The 18,649-nt window shown below is 39.2% G+C and overlaps 1 protein-coding gene across 5 annotated transcripts in view; it reads right to left on the reverse strand.

Annotated features, from left to right (window-relative positions):
• ATP6V1H (ATPase H+ transporting V1 subunit H) overlaps positions 1–18,649 on the reverse strand; it is a 127,703-nt gene that overhangs the window by 33,405 nt on the left and 75,649 nt on the right. For all 5 annotated transcript variants that reach the window (NM_213619.3, NM_015941.4, XM_006716455.4 and 2 more), the window contains one exon: positions 7,608–7,709. In NM_213619.3, the coding sequence (NP_998784.1) occupies positions 7,608–7,709 (102 nt within the window). The remainder of the gene's footprint in view (positions 1–7,607; positions 7,710–18,649) is intronic.

Here is an 18,649-nt window from a genome sequence, read left to right on the forward strand (position 1 = left end):
TATTTACCAGATAAAAAAGTCTGTATTTTAACAGAACAAACATGATTCTTTTGGTAGCTCTTTCCTTCAGCAAGTATTATGCCCTACTGTGTGGTGAACACTATGTCTAGTCAGATACAGGTGGCTCTTTTGAGAAGTTCACAGTCTAGTGAGATAAACAGACTTCATCACATTATCACTGTACAAAGTGAAAAGTGTTACATAATGGAAGCATTAATATATTCAGAATCCTGTGGGAGCACAGAAAATTGGACATTTGTATTTAGATTCAAAGGCAGTACAGTTTGTCAGATTAAACAGAGAAGAATCTCTTATATCAGTGAATATGTTTAGTTACAAGTAACAAAAACTTTACCCTGCCTGATAATTCTCCAGCAAAATAATTTATTGAAAGGTAACTGCATATGGCTTGGAAGACTGGACAATTGTACTCGAGGGCTGGCCAGGCTGAATCACCATCAAAATCAAGTAGTTCAGTGAGGGTGCTGTTTCAGCTCGGCCCTTGACCCCACAGCTTACTTTGTTCACACCCAGCTACCCAGAGCTGCCACCTCTTCTCCTCCTCATGGAGCTGGCTATCCCTGCTTCCCCAGTCTCTCGTTCCTGCTGGAGGTCTGGGGTAGCTACATCGGCTTATAACTGAGCTTTTAGGCCACGGGCAGGTGGCTAAATGTAAGGGAGAAGAGCAAAGTGAATTTGTGGCATTTTTAATCTTCTATAATGGGAGGGATTACAAGCCTTGTAAAATGGGGAATTCCTGGAATATAGAAAGGTGGTTTAGATGCCAGACTCCTTTAAAAAAAAAAAAAAAAGTGTAGCTGTACAAGCCATGTAAGAGAGTCTGATAGAGCTTTGATATTGTCACAATGTTTTAATTATTAGAACAACATTCATTATGCCAGACTTGTGCTATTAAGTCATACATGCAGAGGGAGCACATTCCCTAAGGTGAGTGTCAGGCATTAATCATCAGGGTGTGATTTCTGGACTTCTATCAGGGGCCACAGGTGTTTTGTGCCTCCTGAAGAAAAAGCAATGGAACAGTTTTATTCCTGAACATCATGTATTTTTGAAAAGTAAGATTAATGCTAAATTGTGTTTGATTCTCAGAATCATGTTACCATATTAAAGGTTACAAGTCCATTAAAAGAACTCAACTGGCCAGTACAGTTGATAAGGTAAATTCGTTTTATTTTTGTGTCATTGCATTTATTGAGGACAAGTATTAAATTTGCAACTGGGGGGCAATTAACTGTCACGTTATGCTCTCCACCCAATCTTACGAAAACAAGTAATTGGATCAAAAGTGTTTCTTAAAACTACAAAAGCAGTCATGAAAATAACACACATGTAAAACAAGAGTGAAAAGGGTTCCACGTTAAAAACTAGATGTAAACATGCACACTGAGAAAAACCTGATAGTGATCAAAGAAAAGGATGGATAGGAAATGTGATATTCAGTACACTAAATCCTCACTTAACATCAATAGGTTCTTGGAAACTGACTTCAAGCAAAACGACATAAAACAAGCAAAGGACATTATTCGAGGACCTGCTGTCACTTAAAGTCTCAGTTTCCAAGAACGTATGGATGATGTTAAGTGAGGGCTTACTGTATCTAAAAATGTATCAGTGGACCAGCAAAACATTTACTTGCATCTCCAGAATATTTTTGTTATAAAATGTTGTCAACCGACAAAGGTTACTGTTTGATGGAGATAGAGATGGGAGAAAAGGACAAAACTGCAAGAGACAACATTCTGACACTTCATTCCTGAGAAACTTGTAAAAACAAAAAAGTCCACCGAGAAGTTAATGACAAACATGTTCTTAGAGAAGCAAAATTTAATGTGAAAAATCCCATGATAACAAAAAGAGTGTAGAAGAACAACTGCTATTGCTTGAAGTAGCAGACACTTTACTTGACAATTGAACAATCTACTGATTTACTTGCTTCAGCAAACACCTAAAGAGTGCTTACTATGTAGCAAGCATGACTCTAAGTGTTTTACATTATTATTATCAATGAGTATTAACTCACTCACTCTTCACATTCACAGAGGAGGAAACCAAGGCACAGAGAGGTAAAGGGACTTGCCCAATCTCACAGTTACTAGGTGGCTGAGCTGGGATCTGAAAACCAAGCAGGCGAGTTTAGTCTGGGCACTTACCCACTGCATGACTCTGCATTGGTGTCCGTGTTGCTAAGTAACTATCCATATATGTACTGTGTAAACATGAAAAAAACAATATGTCTGATGAAGTGCTGAGGTAGACTTCCATGACAAGTCCACATATAATCTGAATATCTCAAACTCTGGACAAGTTTCTAACTCTTGCATGATCTGGACTGGAAGCAGTTTTTTGAACTTGGCACTGACAAAGGACTAGCTATGTGCAGCAGAGTTACGGCTATGTGGATAAAAAGGCTGTACTAACCGAATTGGAAGTCCGTGATGTGCCTATTCACCATGCTACTGTTGAAATAGTCCAAAGTGCAAATATGACATTAGAAGCATATGAGAAGCTGTTTGAAGGAAGGAATAGGGAGTATAAAACTGCTTTTCCAATCAGAAGTGCACGACTTTTTTTAAATAAGAACTTGAAACTCAACTTCTTCACTGGCATTATTTTTACTGAGGTAATAGAAAATGGTCACTGTTAGCTTTACCAGAATATAATGCAGGAGACAGACTTTTACTGATAATGCCAATAAAGATAATTTCTTTTTTTTTTTTTCGAGACAGAGTCTCGCTGTGTCACCCAGATTAGAGTACAGTCGCGCAGCCTAGGCTCACTGCAACCTCCGCCTCCTGGGTTCAAGCGATTCTCCTGCCTCAGCCTCCTGAGTAGCTGGGACTACAGGCTCATGCCACCATGCTTGGCTAATTTTTGTATTTTTAGTAGAGACGGGGTTTCACCATATTGGTCAGGCTGTTCTTGAACTCCTGACCTCGTGATCTGCCCACCTTGGCCTCCCAAAGTGCTGGGATTACAGGTGTGAGCCACTGTGCCCGGCCAATAAAGATCATTTCTATCACCTTAAGTGACTTTAAGTGGCATATCTTAGCAACAGTTGCTGTCTTGAATAGGTTAAACCTATCATTTAAGTTCCAAATATCAACCTCAAATTTGAGATACCACAATTATTTTTTAAGATAACTGACTTGTGGTGAAAATGGATCTATCACAAAGCATGTGAATTTTTCTAAGTGTTAAAGTTTTATTTTTATTCATAAGGAAAAAAAATTAATGAGGGCTATGGTAAAAAATCATATCAAAAAGCTACAACTTTTGAATATGAAGAAATGCTTTTATATTACTGAATGCGACCAACAAGTAGGCTGGGAATCCTTCTCCTGATACCTCACTAGAGGCAACACTCTATTTTCTTGCTTTTGTTTGAATGGGCTGGTCAACTGAGTGTCTGATGAAGTGCTGAGCTGGGCTTCTGTGAGAAATCCGCATATAACCTGAATATCCCAAACTCTCTGGCCAAGCTTCTAACTCTTGTAGCCATTCCTGCCAAATGATAATAGTAAGTTAGCATTTTCTAATTCAGTAGCAATAAAGGGTAAGAAAAGAAACTGAGTATAGATACTTTCTTTTTTTTCTTTTTTTTGAGATGGAGTCTTGCTCTGTTGCCAGGCTGGAGTGCAGTGGCACAATCTCAGCTCACTGCAACCTCCACCTCCTGGGTTCAAGCGATTATCCTGCCTCAGCCTCCCAAGTAGCTGGGACTAGAGGCATGTGCCACCACACCCAGCTAATTTTTCTATTTTTAGTAGAGACGGGGTTTCACCATGTTGGCCAAGGATGGTCTCGATCTCTTGACCTCGTGATCTGCCCCCCTCAGCCTCCCAAAGTGCTGGGATTACAGGCGTGAGCTACCGCACCCAGCGATCCTTTCTTATGACTCAATAAGTCTATTCTAGATAACCTGGTAAAAGATCAAAAACAAAATAATTCCAATACTTGACATGAAAGAATTATGTAATTTAAAATGTTTGAGTATTATGATTAATCTTTTAGAAAACTTAGTTCAAATTGTTGATCTGCAAATCCACTGAACACCCATAAAGTTTGGGGGGAAAAAAAAAACAACAACCCTATAACCATGAGAGAAACCATGCCTTTTTTTTTTTTTTCTGAGAAGTTTCAAAAAGCAGAGTCTTAATGAGGAGAAAATAATTTGAAAACATATCTCAAAGCAGAAGGATCCAGAGCTTGCACAGAAAGTAAGTTATGCTGGTGAGAGGCTTCAGAATAAAGAATGACTATATTGGTCCATGATGTAAATATAAGCCACTGGAAGGACATAGAAAAGAATTAGCATGGCCACAGTTTTGGGCCAAAAAAGACTATTTTAGGAAAAGCACGGAGGATCGACTGCAGCAGATATTGGTGATAGGAAGTCAAATGAAGGTACAGCATGATGGGAGAGATCATTCTTCTTAGGGAGAGACAGTAAGGCAGGGAGAAAGAAAGGAACAGGGCAGTAGAGCAGAATTACGTGAAGGCATAGCAGGCTTCTGCCTTGGCAGCAGGTCAGGTGTGCACAACATATCCAAAAGAAACATTTGAAACACCAGCTGAGGCAGTGCTGTGAGAAGATGAATTCTTCAACATGCTTTTCACTTTCAGCGTTTTAAAACTATCATATTTTTATCTTCATTCATTTTTTAGCAGCTATAAATCTAAGAGGGCTCTATATACCATCTATCCATCTGTTTTTCATATTTAACACATTTTAAATGAGTTATAGACCTTGACTATTATTAGCTAAATTTATATTTGCCTTATCTAAAGATCTTTAATTTTCCATAGTAAAACCAATTATTTTTTAATGATATTAATTTTGGACAGCTCTTGATATTACAGTGTCAACAACTATGAGGGTCTTAGTTTTTACCCTACTTGCAGCTAACAAGTTAGCCTGCCACAGTTTCATGGATCCCGGTAGAACACATGAGACTCCTGGGTCCGAGACAAAGGATAGTTTATTGCTCACAGCAACAGAAATAGCAAGATACTAGCATTTTAGTGCTAGTCCCCCAAGCCTCAATTTCCACAAGTGAACATAAAGGAAGCCAGATGAGCCCTGCACACTGCGCATAAGAGGAACCCTGAACTTAGAGAAACCCCAATCTCTCATATGGCAGTAAGCACATCTGCCCATTGCTCTTAGGCAGACAAACCTCTCTGTAAAGGGCATTTAGTGCCTCGTCTTGCAAGAAGTTCAGAAAGATGAGAGATAGGAGTGCAAAAGGCTTATTGGGAAACAAAGAAAAAAGGAAGGCATGAGAAATGTCTTCCTACAGTATCAACCCCTCATTTCTACACCATCTTGCCTTCCAAAAAATGTATCTATAAACACAACACTTGTGGGTGGTTCTGATGAATCTGGCTGGCACAGGCTGGAACCAAGTCCACTTAATTAGTTTTATATGCCATTTCATGAAGGCTACTACCTACAAGACTCCAAGCACCAGGATAAGGCCAACCTGCAGCACTGACCTCACCACCCATGTCCCCCAGGGCCCTGGACTCAACCACCTAAACAAATGGAACGAATCATCAGAGTCTACAAGGACAGCCTCCTTTTACAGAGCTCTCTACACTTGTCTGAGGACTACATAATCTACTGGTAGCGTTTCCTGAAATACTTGAAGGTTCCTTATGACCACACCCCTAAAGCGCAACTTATTGTCTCTTTGAGAAGAAGATGAGTTAATGCCTGGCTTCCATGAAGTATAATACCAGGGTGCTCATTGTGCCCCTGGAAAGTGGTTTATCATTGCTGGGGCCACCCAAGTGGGACCTTCATGAGTTAGTGAAACAGGCTGAGTGGCCTCCTAGCTGGATGATAAACCTTAGGAGTCTGAGTTCAGTTCAAATAATTGAGTCCTTATTTTAAGGCGAGACTGGCCTATTTGTCTATGCCACCAGCCAGAGGACATTTGTCCGTACCATGGAATGGCTGAGGGATAGCTTTGGAATTAGGGAAGTACAGAGCCGTTGACTGGCATTTTGCTTAGGGGGTGCAGGGGCTACCATTATCTCTTCTGTTCCCAATAAATTTTTCAGTAAGGTTAAAGGGAGTGGCCATGGTATAGCAGTGAGAGCTGCCTCGCAGTGGGTGACAGGCCCAGCACTCAATTAAACAGAAGGCACTGGCAACAGCTTGGGAGATCTCTCTGTTTTCCTTTGAGGAAAGCTCTAGAGGCAGTTCACTGGAAACAAAGATCATTGATGTCCCTACCTCCCCTGTATCTCCAGGGTCTGAGGTATTCTTCAGATGCTGAGGTTGCTGTTATCCTTCCACTGCTACAAAATCTATGTGCCCCATTCCAATAGCTAACTTCACTATTTTTTAACCATCCCTTAATTGTATCCAGGTATTTGGTCTGAAAGGGCCAAGTACAAAAGGGACAAGCGTACTTCTGCAAAACTTACAGAAATCCATTAAGTTTCCGTCTTTAGTGTGCGTGAGTCACTACACAGAGACTTGGCAAGCACTAACCAAGCAGCCCTTTCCCTTATGATTAGGTTACGGGGGGTGGGGGTGGGAGTGGCGATTCTTTTCCTAAGGGCCAGATAAGTAAATATTTTATGCTTCATTCATCTCTGTAAGTACAAATAGTAAGACAAAAAATAGCCAGTGCTCGCAAAATGGCTACCAAATCATTAACATGAAATATCTAATGTGATCTACACAGTAGTATTATACCAGCGTACATATATATATATATATATATATATATATATATATATATATATATATATATATATATATATTTTTTTTTTTTTTTTTTTTTTTTTTTTTTTGAGACGGAGTCTCGCTCTGTCGCCCAGGCTGGAGTGCAGTGGCGGGATCTCGGCTCACTGCAAGCTCCGCCTCCCGGGTTCACGCCATTCTCCTGCCTCAGCCTCCCAAGTAGCTGGGACTACAGGCGCCCGCCACTACGCCCGGCTAATTTTTTGTATTTTTAGTAGAGACGGGGTTTCACCGTTTTAGCCGGGATGGTCTCGATCTCCTGACCTTGTGATCCGCCCGCCTCGGCCTCCCAAAGTGCTGGGATTACAGGCGTGATATATTTTTATACTATTCTTTTTCTTTTCTTTTTTTTTTTTTTTTTTTGAGACACAATCTTGCTCTGTCGCCCAGGCTGGAGTGCAGTGGCACGATCTCAGCTCACTGCAACCTTCGCCTCCTGGGTTCAAGCAGTTCTTCTGCCTCAGCCTCCTGAGTAGCTGGGACTACAGGCGCGTGCCACCATGCCCAGTTAATTTTTTTCTTTTTTTTTTTTTTTTGTATTTTTAGTAGAGAAGGGGTTTCACCATCTTAGCCAGGATGGTCTCCTGACCTTGTGATCTGCCTGCCTCGGCCTCCCAAAGTGGTGGTATTACAGGCGTGAGCCACTGCAACCGGCCTATACTACTCATTTTTAACTGGGTTTATCATAATTCTCACTATTGTGGCAATCTTGATTTCATTTGCTTTGTTAGTTCCTTTGCTAACCTACTCCATTTTAGATAAGTACATTATTTAGGACTCTACACTGAAGGTTTCAAGAAACCAAATGAAATGAATGGCTTTCTCTTACCGTTTGCCTCGTGGATAATGCCGCACATATTCTCCAACATCGTGAGCAGCAACAGCTAAGACTTGGGGATCATCTGACACTTCCAAAAGTTTTGTCAAGATTCTGAAATAAATTTTATCCAAAGAGAGATCAAGTTCTAATTTTTCTATAGACTACAACAGAGCACAGGTATAATGAAGATATCTTCCTGAAAATAGACATTTATTAATATATTCATATTCTTCTAAGGATTTCACTATTAGACATAAGTTTGCAGTTTTCAAACCTTCAAACATATATAACAAGTTTCTTTCAGATTCACAATGTACACCATGCACAATTTCCAAAATATCAGGGACTCCCCCCTCAAGAAAACTAGAACATGAATAAAAGTTATTTTAACACAAAACTACCAATAGATCTTTTCCAATTATATATATTTTCATAAGCCATTTATAAACCCTAGGACCTACTGGTACTACTGGGACAAGTGACTTTCAGTGCTCGATGATAAGAGGGTGGACTGAGCACTAAGCACACACGTCTTCCCCTCTCTCTTGCCCCAACTCTAACAGAAGAGTGGAACATATACTTTCCAAACAGTGAAGTCCATAACAGCAAGAGAAAAGATGGCAGCCCAAATCCACCATCCTGTCACCTTGCCCTTCTGGTACTTTCTCCAATACAACCACATAAATTGTCACTGGAGCCTGACGGGTACTTCTGAGAACAGGAGCCAGGAACCAGCAGCAAAGAAGGCTCCCCCTGCCCCGGCTTCTGCTACCCTCCTCAAGGACCACTGAGGGTGGGTGCAGCTACCCAAGATGTGCATGTGCCCTTGGGAGTGAAAGGGGAGGGAGATGGTGCTGCTCAGAATCCAAGGAGCTTGGAAAGGACTACCTTCCTCATGTGTGCAAGCAGAGATCATTCAAGGAATAGGTTGCTCCTCTGTTATTTTAATGCTCAAGGGCCTAGAAATAGATGGAAAACTTCTCAATTCATTCTAAAAGCAGAGCGTAACTGTGATAACCAGTCAGAATGAATGTTTTTTAAATGGCTTGGTAGAAGACCAATATATAAAAACAACTCTTTCTAATACCCCAGCAACTCAGAAATAGATACACACAAACTTAAATTAGCCAACTGAACCCACTAGTACACTGAGACACAATATTCAGTTTTCAGCTCAAATGTCATCTCTTGTATAAGAGCCCACGATTACCCTAAGGCAGTACTCTCCCCACCATTCTCCTCTCCTACTCCACTGTTCTTCATAGTACTAATCACCACCTGCCATTGTAATATGTATTAAGACAGTCATGTTAAATGACTTCAAGCCATAGGAAGTAAAAATGACAGGTCACAAATTAATACATTTAGTCTGATAACATGTATAAGTAAAGGTATATAAAGATGTAGGTAAGGTATGCCTAGGCACCGGAAGAGACTATGGCCTGCTGACCCTAGTTCCTCCTCAGGAAGAGTCTGAGATTGAAGAGCAGTGAAGAAACCTTTCCACTTTAGTTCTCTCTGCCTTCAAGATGAAACAAGACATATTCAGTTTTTCATATATCTATTAATATTTTTAACATTTCAAACTATGTGTGTTTTTAAAAGGCTAACTTGCAAATTATTCTAAAATTACATTAAATTTAATTCAACTGAAACATTTTGATAATTTCAAAAAATTACTTCTTTGTTTTTATTTCAATAATTTAAATATTAAGAAATTTTATGAAATTATAAGCAAATTGCATTAACGAAAATTATTTAAAATATAACATTTGTTCTCAAGAAAAGAAAAATAGCTCAGAGTCGTCAGAGCTATGTGAAATATATAACATTTTTCACACCCAGAAACAAGAGTGTGGGTCCAAGGGCAATTATTTAAAGGCATTTTGTCCCTAACTATCCCACTCATTACCCTCGTGTTCCTGGAATTTGTGATACAAAGATCAATGTACAGCTAATCAACAGTTTATGTCATTTTAATGTAAATTCTTGGCAAACGACTTAGGAAGTGCCTCTTCTTTTTCCCTTAAAAGCCCACTTGTAACTGCTACTAATTGGAGTGCATATTCAAGGCAAGTTGAATCTATGCTCCCAGGTAGCCATCTTCAAGCTTTGAGCTTGAACAATCTCTGTATTTAATCTTATTTTCAGAATTTCGTTATTTAAGACTGACATTCTGAATACATCAAACCAGAAGTCAGGAAATAACAGCTCAAGTCCAAACCCAGATGCCATCTGTTTTTGTAAATGTTTTACTGGAACACAGCCAGGCTCATTAGTTTACTTGGTGTCCATAGCTGGCACTGCAATGGCAGAGTTGAGTAATTTGGGACAGAAACAAAATGGTTCAAAAAGTCTAAAATATTTACTACCTTGGTCTTTCCCAAATCACGTTGCCAATCCCTGCCTTAAACTATTCTCAGTGACTTAAGCCATTCTCCATATGGCTGAGACCCTGATACCCAAAATATGGTGTACACACCAGCAGCATGGGCATCACCTGGTTACTTAGAAATGCTGATCACAGACCCTAATCTAGGACTACTGAATTAGAATCTGCATTTTAACAAGATCTCCATTAACATTTGAGAAGCACAGCCTTAGAGTCAGATAATGTTAGAACTGGAAGGAATCACAGGCTTTCTAGTCAAATCTGCAAAATGTGGACATGATTTTAATTGTTACCCTTCAGGACCATTAAGTCCACTGAATATCTTCAGCAACAATGAAAACATTTTTGTATTATTAGCTGTAAACCTGCTGAGCATGCTATTTCTGTGTCAAATCGTCAATTAAAATGTTCTTCAAAAGAACAGGTTCAAAAAAAGACATTTTATGGTATGCAATGAGAGAACTCCCTCCAAGATGTCTCTGAATACAGTTAAGTCAACAATAGATTCATCAACCACAATCCAAACCTCTATTGCCACGTTAACCACAACCCATGATTCTATCAAATAGTCCAATGGATCCAGGCAGCAACACACCACAGCTCTGTAGTTAGACCAAATGTGAATTCTGCCTCGACATTAGCTAGAAATGTAATCTTGAAAAGCATCTGTTCAAATCAAATTAGAATTTACATTATTATTCTAATTGATCATTCAACAAATATGTTCATTCTCTTTCACAATGTTTTCCTCAGTTTTAGAAACTTGTTTTCTCTCTCAGTTTTTGCTTTTCTTCTATCTCCACGGCTTCTTATATTTCAGAATATTTTCTTACTCAAAATATATATTTATTTCAAAACTACTAACATACAAGCTACAAGGTATTTTCTGTATACTTCAAAAGTGAGAGGGAAAAATTAACTTTTATACTTGCTAAGTGTGGAATTACCTGACGTAAGTGTGGTTATCCACAGATAAAAGGAAGACCAGTATGCATGATGCTTTTTAAACAGCAGAATCAAATAAAGATTTCATCCAGATCTATCTTATTGGGCAGCACTAGTACCTGTCATTCATCTCATGCATATAATTTATAAGAATGTAAAGAATGTCAGGTGACCATCAAGTCAGGGGGTTGTTAAGCTGCCACTCTAAGATAATAATTGGTTGCAGCTGGTGCCAGGGAACGACAGTCTTCCAACAGATAGAAAACACCTGAAGCTGGTGATCAGCAGCTTCCCAATAATATCTCAAGAGTGGGGTGGGCAGGCTCAAGCATGCACAGTAAGGTGCAAAGTGGCAGAGTTTAACCAGTATATGACCTTCCTCTAGGAATGCTCAACTGATAAGGGAAAAATGCCTCAAGTGAGCATGCACACAACTTCAGTAAACATACTGTGCATGTGGCCCCTCCCAAGTGCTGGCAGGACACTGAACATGACAGCCCAGCCCAAGGGAAACATCGAGGGAAGAGAAATGGAAACCCCGGAACTATGCCAATGTATAAAACCCCAAGTCAAGGGCAGAACAGGGCAGTTGGATCTCCCAAGTCATCCACTTGGCCCTCTTCCAAGTGTACTTTATTTCCTTATATTCCTGTTCTAAAACTTTTTTAATAAGCCTTCACTTCTGCTCTAAAATTTGCCCTGGTCTCTTACTCTGCCTTAAACCTATTTCTGCCCCTCAGCAGAATTATTTCCTCCAAGGAGGCAAGGATCACGTTGCTGCAGACCCATACAGATTCACAACTGGTAACAACCCCACTGACAGAACAGACTCCCTTCTGGGCCAAGGGGACCCCAGAGAAACCTCAAAAACTGAGTTTCAGGCTATGATGGGAAGAGGGATCAGAAAAAACTCATAATACCCCTTCCCTTTCGGAGTTTAGGCACAACTGGCCACCATTAATGTAAAACAGAAATCAGCTACACTTTCTCAGGGCTCCTTAAGACTGTTTTTCCCAAGATGGTGGTCACTCATATTGGCTCAGAAGAAGCCTCTTTAAAATATTTCACGGAGTTTGGTTTCTCCATTAACAAGAATAAAAACTAAAGACAAACAAACAATAATTTCAAATTTCTCATCATCATATAAACATAAAAGAAAAATACCATATACTAGCCAGGCGCGGTGGCTCACGCCTGTAATCCCAGCACTTTGGGAGGCCGAGGTGGGCAGATCACGAGGTCAGGAGATCGAGACCATCCTGGCTAACACGGTGAAACCCTGTCTCTACTAAAAAATAGAAAAAATTAGCTGGGTGTGGTGGCAGGCACCTGTAGTCCCAGGTACTCGGGAGGCTGAGGCAGGAGAATGGCGTGAACCCAGGAGGTGGAGCTTGCAGTGAGCCGAGATCGCGCCACTGCACTCCAGCCTGGGCAACAGAGCGAGACTCCGTCTCAAAAAAAAAAAAAAGAAAAATACCATATACCATTGTTCCTGGTTATTCAGAAAAATCACAGTGTCATACAAAGGTAAAGGGAGTAATCTGAAGAAGCCACAAAAATTAAAACCTAACACCAGAAAATAGAAAGTACCCTTTTCAAAAGTCTCTTTAAGTGTATCATAATAAAGATATGCATAATGCTTTTGTAATAACTTGTAAAACGTTCCCCTCCACTATATTCAAGTTTTCTAAACACTAGATTTAAAAAAAACCTCCAAGCTCTTTCTGTTGTTAAAACTCAAAGTCATAAGGTAACAGTGAAAAACTAATCCACTCCTTCCCACTTCCTATTCTGTCAGTCTTGCTGACATCAACCACTCACTTTGATTTGCCATTTTGTTTAAATGAGAATAATGTATCATTTTCAGTAATACACAGAAAATGGAGTCTAAACAACAGAGATAGGTGGGCCTAAAAATGCTCCATCTGGATGCCTCATTTAAATGACAATAAGAGGATTTCTTAAAAGTATAAATCTATAAGGAAGGACAAAATGGGAAGTGAAACAAAAACAATAAAATATTGAAGCGGAAAGTCAGAAGAACAAATGTTAAACATGAGAAAACCAAATACCAAGCTGGCAGGGAGGTAAGCCAAGGAGCAACCTGATTTACAACACAGAACTATTTATACCGGTATTTTTAGATACCAGACTCAAACTTTGCTGCCTCATATGACAACCATTAGCCACATGTGGTTTGTTTTAAAGTTAAATTGATAAAAATTTAGTTTCTCAGCTACCAAGAACATTTCCAGTGCTCTTTAGTGACAAACTATTGTATTGAGCAGCACAGATATAAACTACTTCTATCATCACAAAAAGTTCCAATGAAGTTGAGGTAGAAGGTGAAAAACTGTAATACAAGATCTATAGGAACACTAAAAAAAAAAAATCACACACAAAGGAATAAATTTAATGAAAGACAACAGTGTAACATTATCCAAAGGAAATCCTACATGAATGAAGGGATATACTACCATGTTCATGGATTGGAGGACCCTCCTTCCAAATTAAAATAATATCAATTCCCCCTAGAATAAACTATGGCTTCAATCCCAATCGAAATACCCGTCAAACCATTTGTTTGACAAGCTGATTCTAAAATGCATACAGAAATGCAGGAGTCCAGAAAGCACCAAGACACCTTGGAAGAACAGGCATGCTCATGCTCATACTATCAGACACCAAGACAGAAAATAATGAACAGCAATTAATATAACATAGTATTGGAGTAAGAATAAACAAATAGATGATGGAATAGAACAAAGAATTCATAAACACATTTGCATAGGAGAGGTTCTAACCAGGGCAACTGGGCAAAAAAAAAGAAATAAAAGGCACTCAGATTGAAAAAGTGAGAAGTAAAACTCTCTATTCACAGATGACATAATCTTGTACAGTTGACCATTGAACAGCACAAATCTGAACTGCACAGGTCCACTTACACATGGATTTTCTTACACCCATTTGCCACCCCTGAAACAGCAACATCAACATGTTCTCTTTCTCAGCTTACTCAACATGACGACAAGGAGGATGAAGACCTTTACAATGATCCACTTCCACTTAATGGACAGTAAATATATCTTCTCTTTCTTATGATTTTCTTAATAACATTTTTTCTCTAGTTTACTTTATTGTAAGAATACAGTATATAATACATGTAACATTCAAAATATGTGTTAATCAACTGTTTCTTATCAGTGAGGCTTCTAGTCAACAGGAAGTTATTAGTAGTTAAGTTTTGGGGAAGCTAAAAGTTATACACGGCTTTTTGACTGTGGGGGAGGAGGGTCGGCATCCCTAATTCCTGCATTTTCAAGGGCCAACAGCAGACAGAAGATGCAAAGGAATCCAATAAAGACAAAGGTTTCATAAGTTCAATCTACAAAACTCAATTGTTTTTCTATAAACTTGCAATAAATAATTGAAAAAGAAGAAAACAACTTCATTTACAATAGCATCAAAAGGACAAAATATTTAGAAATAAATTTAACAAAAGACATGCAAAACTTATTTTCTGAAATCTACAAAACACTGTTGAAAGAAATTAAATACGATGTAAACAAATCAGAAAACATCCCAGGTTCATGGATCTGAATACCAAATACTCCTCAAACTGACTTACAGCTTCAACAGAATCCCTATTAGTCCAAACTGGGTTCCTTGTAGATTTTAACAAGGTGATTCTAAAATTCATATAAAATGTTAAGGGACCCAGATAGCCAAAATCATCTTGGAAACAAAAGAGCAGACTTCCAGTTTCTGGTACAGCATGTAAAGAGCTTGGAAATCATCACTCCAATCCTCACAGCAGGAAAAAAAAAAATGCTGAACAAAACAAGTCTTCTTAGATCCATCAGGAACCATCAGAGAACTGAGGTCCCAGGACAAACCATCTCCCTGGAAGCTAGAGAGATGGGTGACAGAGAATCAAAGCTTATTGGCAGCAGAAACTGCTGTTGGATCTATCAACTGGTAGAAACACTTAAAGGGTAACTGACTCATTGCTAAAGATTTAACAAGAACTAGCTAGAGAAATAAAAACCCCAAGGAGTCCAGTCTTATGGAAGTTAGGTGGCCTTCACAGTGCTCACCTAAGGAGAAGTGGATAATCTGAATAGGCCTGTATCTATTAAAGAAATGAGTAATTAATAACCTTACAAAACAGAAAGCAACAGGCCCACATGTTCTCACTGGTAAATTATGTCAAACATTTAAGAAGTAAACAATACCAATTCTCTACAGTCTCTTCCAGAAAAAGAAGCAGCGGGAACACCTCTTAACTCATTCTATGAGACCAACATTACCATAATCCCAAAATCAGAAAAAAACATCACAAGAAAGGAAATTTACAGAGCACTATCTCTCATGAACATAGATGCAAAAATCCTCAACAAAAATATTGGCAAATCAAATCTAATAACATATAAAACGAATTATAAACTATGACCAAACAGGATTGAGTCCGGGTATGCAAGGCTAGCGTAATATTTGAGAATCAATTAATGTAGCCCATCACATCAACAGGCTAAAAAAGAAAAATCATATCAATAGAGTCAGGAAAATTATTTGACAAATTTAACATCCATTCATGATAAAAACTCTCAGCAAATTAGGAATAGAGGGAAACATTCTCAACTTTATCAGATAAAGATGATGTGCAAAAAAAAAAATCTATAGTTAGTATCATACTGAATAATGAGAAACTAGATGCTTTCCTCCCTAAGATCAGAAGCAACGCAAGGATGTACCCTCTCATCACTCTATTCACCATCATATTGGAAGTATCATTAAGTGTAATAAGACAAAAAAGGAAATAAAAGAAATAATTACAGCAAAGTCGCAGGATACAAGGTACATCTATGAGTCAGTTGTTTTCCCATACACTATCTCTGAACAACTGGAATTTCAAATTAAAAACACAGCACTAGGCCAAGCATGGTGGCTCATGCCTATAATCCTAGCATTTTGGAAGGCAGAGATGGGAGGACTGCTGTGAGGCCAGGAGTTCGAGACCAACCTGTGCAACAGAGTGACATCCCATCTCCACAAAAATTTAACAAAAACAAAATAGCCGGGCATGGTGGTATGTGCCTGTAGTCCTAGCTGCTCAAGAGGCTGAGATGGGAGGATCTCTTGAGCCCAGAAGTTTGATGTTACAGTTAGCTATGATCGCACCACTTCACTCCAATCTGGGTGACAGAGCTAGATCCTGCCTCTTAAAAAGGCGGGGGAAGGCCAGGCATGGTGGCTCCCATCTGTAATCCCAGGACTTTGGGAGGCTGAGGTGGGCAGATCACGAGGTCAGGAGTTAGAGACTGGCCTGGCCAACATGGTGAAACCCCGTCTCTACTAAAAATACAAAAATGAGCTGGGCGTGGTGGTGCGCGCCTGTAATCCCAGCTACTTAGGAGGCTGAGGCTGGAGAATCTTGCACCCGGGAGGCGGAGGCTGCAGTAAGCTGAAATTGCGCTATTGCACTCCAGCCTGGACAACAGAGTGAGACTCTGTCTCAAAAAAAAAAAAAAAAAGGGCAGGGCGGGGAGGGTGGTGGACAACAACAACAACAACACACACACACACACACACACACACACACACACACACACACACACAAGACCATCAGCATTAGCACCAAAAAAAAAGAAAGAAAGAAAGAAAGAGAAATACTTAGGTATAAATGTAACAAAATATGTGCAAGATCTATAAGAGGAAAACAAAAGCCAAATGAAAGAAATCAAAGAAAATTGAAACAAATAAACAGATATTCCACGTTCACAAGTAGAAAGACTCTATACTGTCAAGATATCAACTGTTCCCAACTTGATTTACAGATTCAATGCAATCCCAATCAAAATCCTGGCAAGTTATTTTGTAGATACTGACAAACTAATGTTTGTTTCCATATATTCTAAAGTTATGGAAAAGCAAAAGACTCAGAATGGCCAGCACAATATTAAAGAACAACAAAGTCAGAGGACTGACACTACCAACTTCAAGATTTACTATAAAGCCACAGTACTCAAAAGAATGTGGTATTGGTAAAAGAATAGACAAATAGATCGCTGAAACAGAACAGAGAGCCCAGAAATAGACCCACACAAATATAGTCAACTGATCTTTTAACAGAGCAAGGGCAATTCATTGGAGCAAAGATAGTCTTGTCAAAACCCACAGAGCTATACACAAAGTTGAAAAGTTCATAATGAGGAAACTACACAATACAAAGAGTGAATCCTGTTGCGGGAAGTCAGGGACCCCAAACGGAGGGACCGGCTGAAGCCATGGCAGAAGAACGTGGATTGTGAAGATTTTATGGACATTTATTAGTTCCCCAAATTAATACTTTTGTAATTTCTCATGCCTGTCTTTACTGCAATTTCTAAACATAAATTGTAAAGATTTCATGGACACTTATCACTTCCCCAATCAATACCCTTGTGATTTCCTATGCCTGTCTTTAATTTAATCTCTTAATCCTGTCAGTTGAGGAGGATGTATATCGTCTCAGGACCCTGTAATAATTACGTTAACTACACAAATTGTACAGCATGTGTGTTTGAGCATTATGAAATGTGGGCACCCTGAAAAAAGAACAGGATAATAGCAATTGTTCAGGGAATAAGAGAGATAACCTTAAACTCTGACCACTGGTGAGCAGGGCAGAACAGAGCCGTATTTCTCCTCTTTTAAAAGCAAATGGGAGAAATATCGCTGAATTCTTTTTCTCAGCATGGGATATCCCTGAGAAAGAGAATGCGCACCTAGGGGTAGGTCTCTGAACTGGCCCCCCCAGGGTGTACCTGTCTCTTATGGTTGAGACTGCAGAGGTGAAATAAACTCCAGTCTCCCATAGCGTTCCCAGGCTTATTAGGAAGAGGAAATTCCTGCCTAATAAATTTGGTCAGACCGGTTGATCTCAAAACCCTGTCTCCTGATAAGATGTTATCAATGACAATGGTGCCTGAAACTTCATTAGCAATTTTAATTTCGCCTTAGTCCTGTGGTCCTGTGATCTTGCCCTGCCTCCACTGGCCTTGTGATATTCTATTACCCTGTTAAGAACTTGATGTCTGTCACCCACACCTATTCGCACACTCCCTCCCCTTTTGAAACTCCCTAATAAAAACTTGCTGGTTTTTGTGGCTTGTGGGGCATCACGGATCCTACCAACGTGTGATGTCTTCCCCGGATGCCCAGCTTTAAAATTTCTCTCTTTTGTACTCTGTCCCTTTATTTCTCAAGCCAGCTGACACTTAGGAAAATAGAAAAGAACCTACGTGATTTTCGGGGCAGGTTCCCCAAAAGAATCCTAATGCAAACTATGTATGAATTTTAGTTAATAATAACATATCAATATTAGTTCATCAATTGTAACAAATGTACCACACTAATGCTAAAAACAGGATGTTAGAAACAGGAAACTGTGTGTTGGTGGAGGTAGAGGTAGCATATGAAAGCACTCTACTTTTTGCTCAATTTTTCTGTGAATCTAAAATTGTTCTAAAAATTAAAGTCTATTTTAAAAGTTGTAGTAAAGTATATATTAGTAATTCTCACACTGTGTGTGACAGCAAACTCTAGTAACAATTTAAAATATCTACCAATTAGAGACTCATTAAATAAAGATACACTCTTTTTTTTTATAAAAAGAAAAAAGGTATAAGAGTCATACTTCCTGTTTTCCAAACTGACTATAAAGCAACAGCAA

Source organism: Homo sapiens, chromosome 8, assembly GCF_000001405.40.
Source record: "Homo sapiens chromosome 8, GRCh38.p14 Primary Assembly".
Classification (NCBI taxonomy): Eukaryota; Metazoa; Chordata; class Mammalia; order Primates; family Hominidae; genus Homo; species Homo sapiens.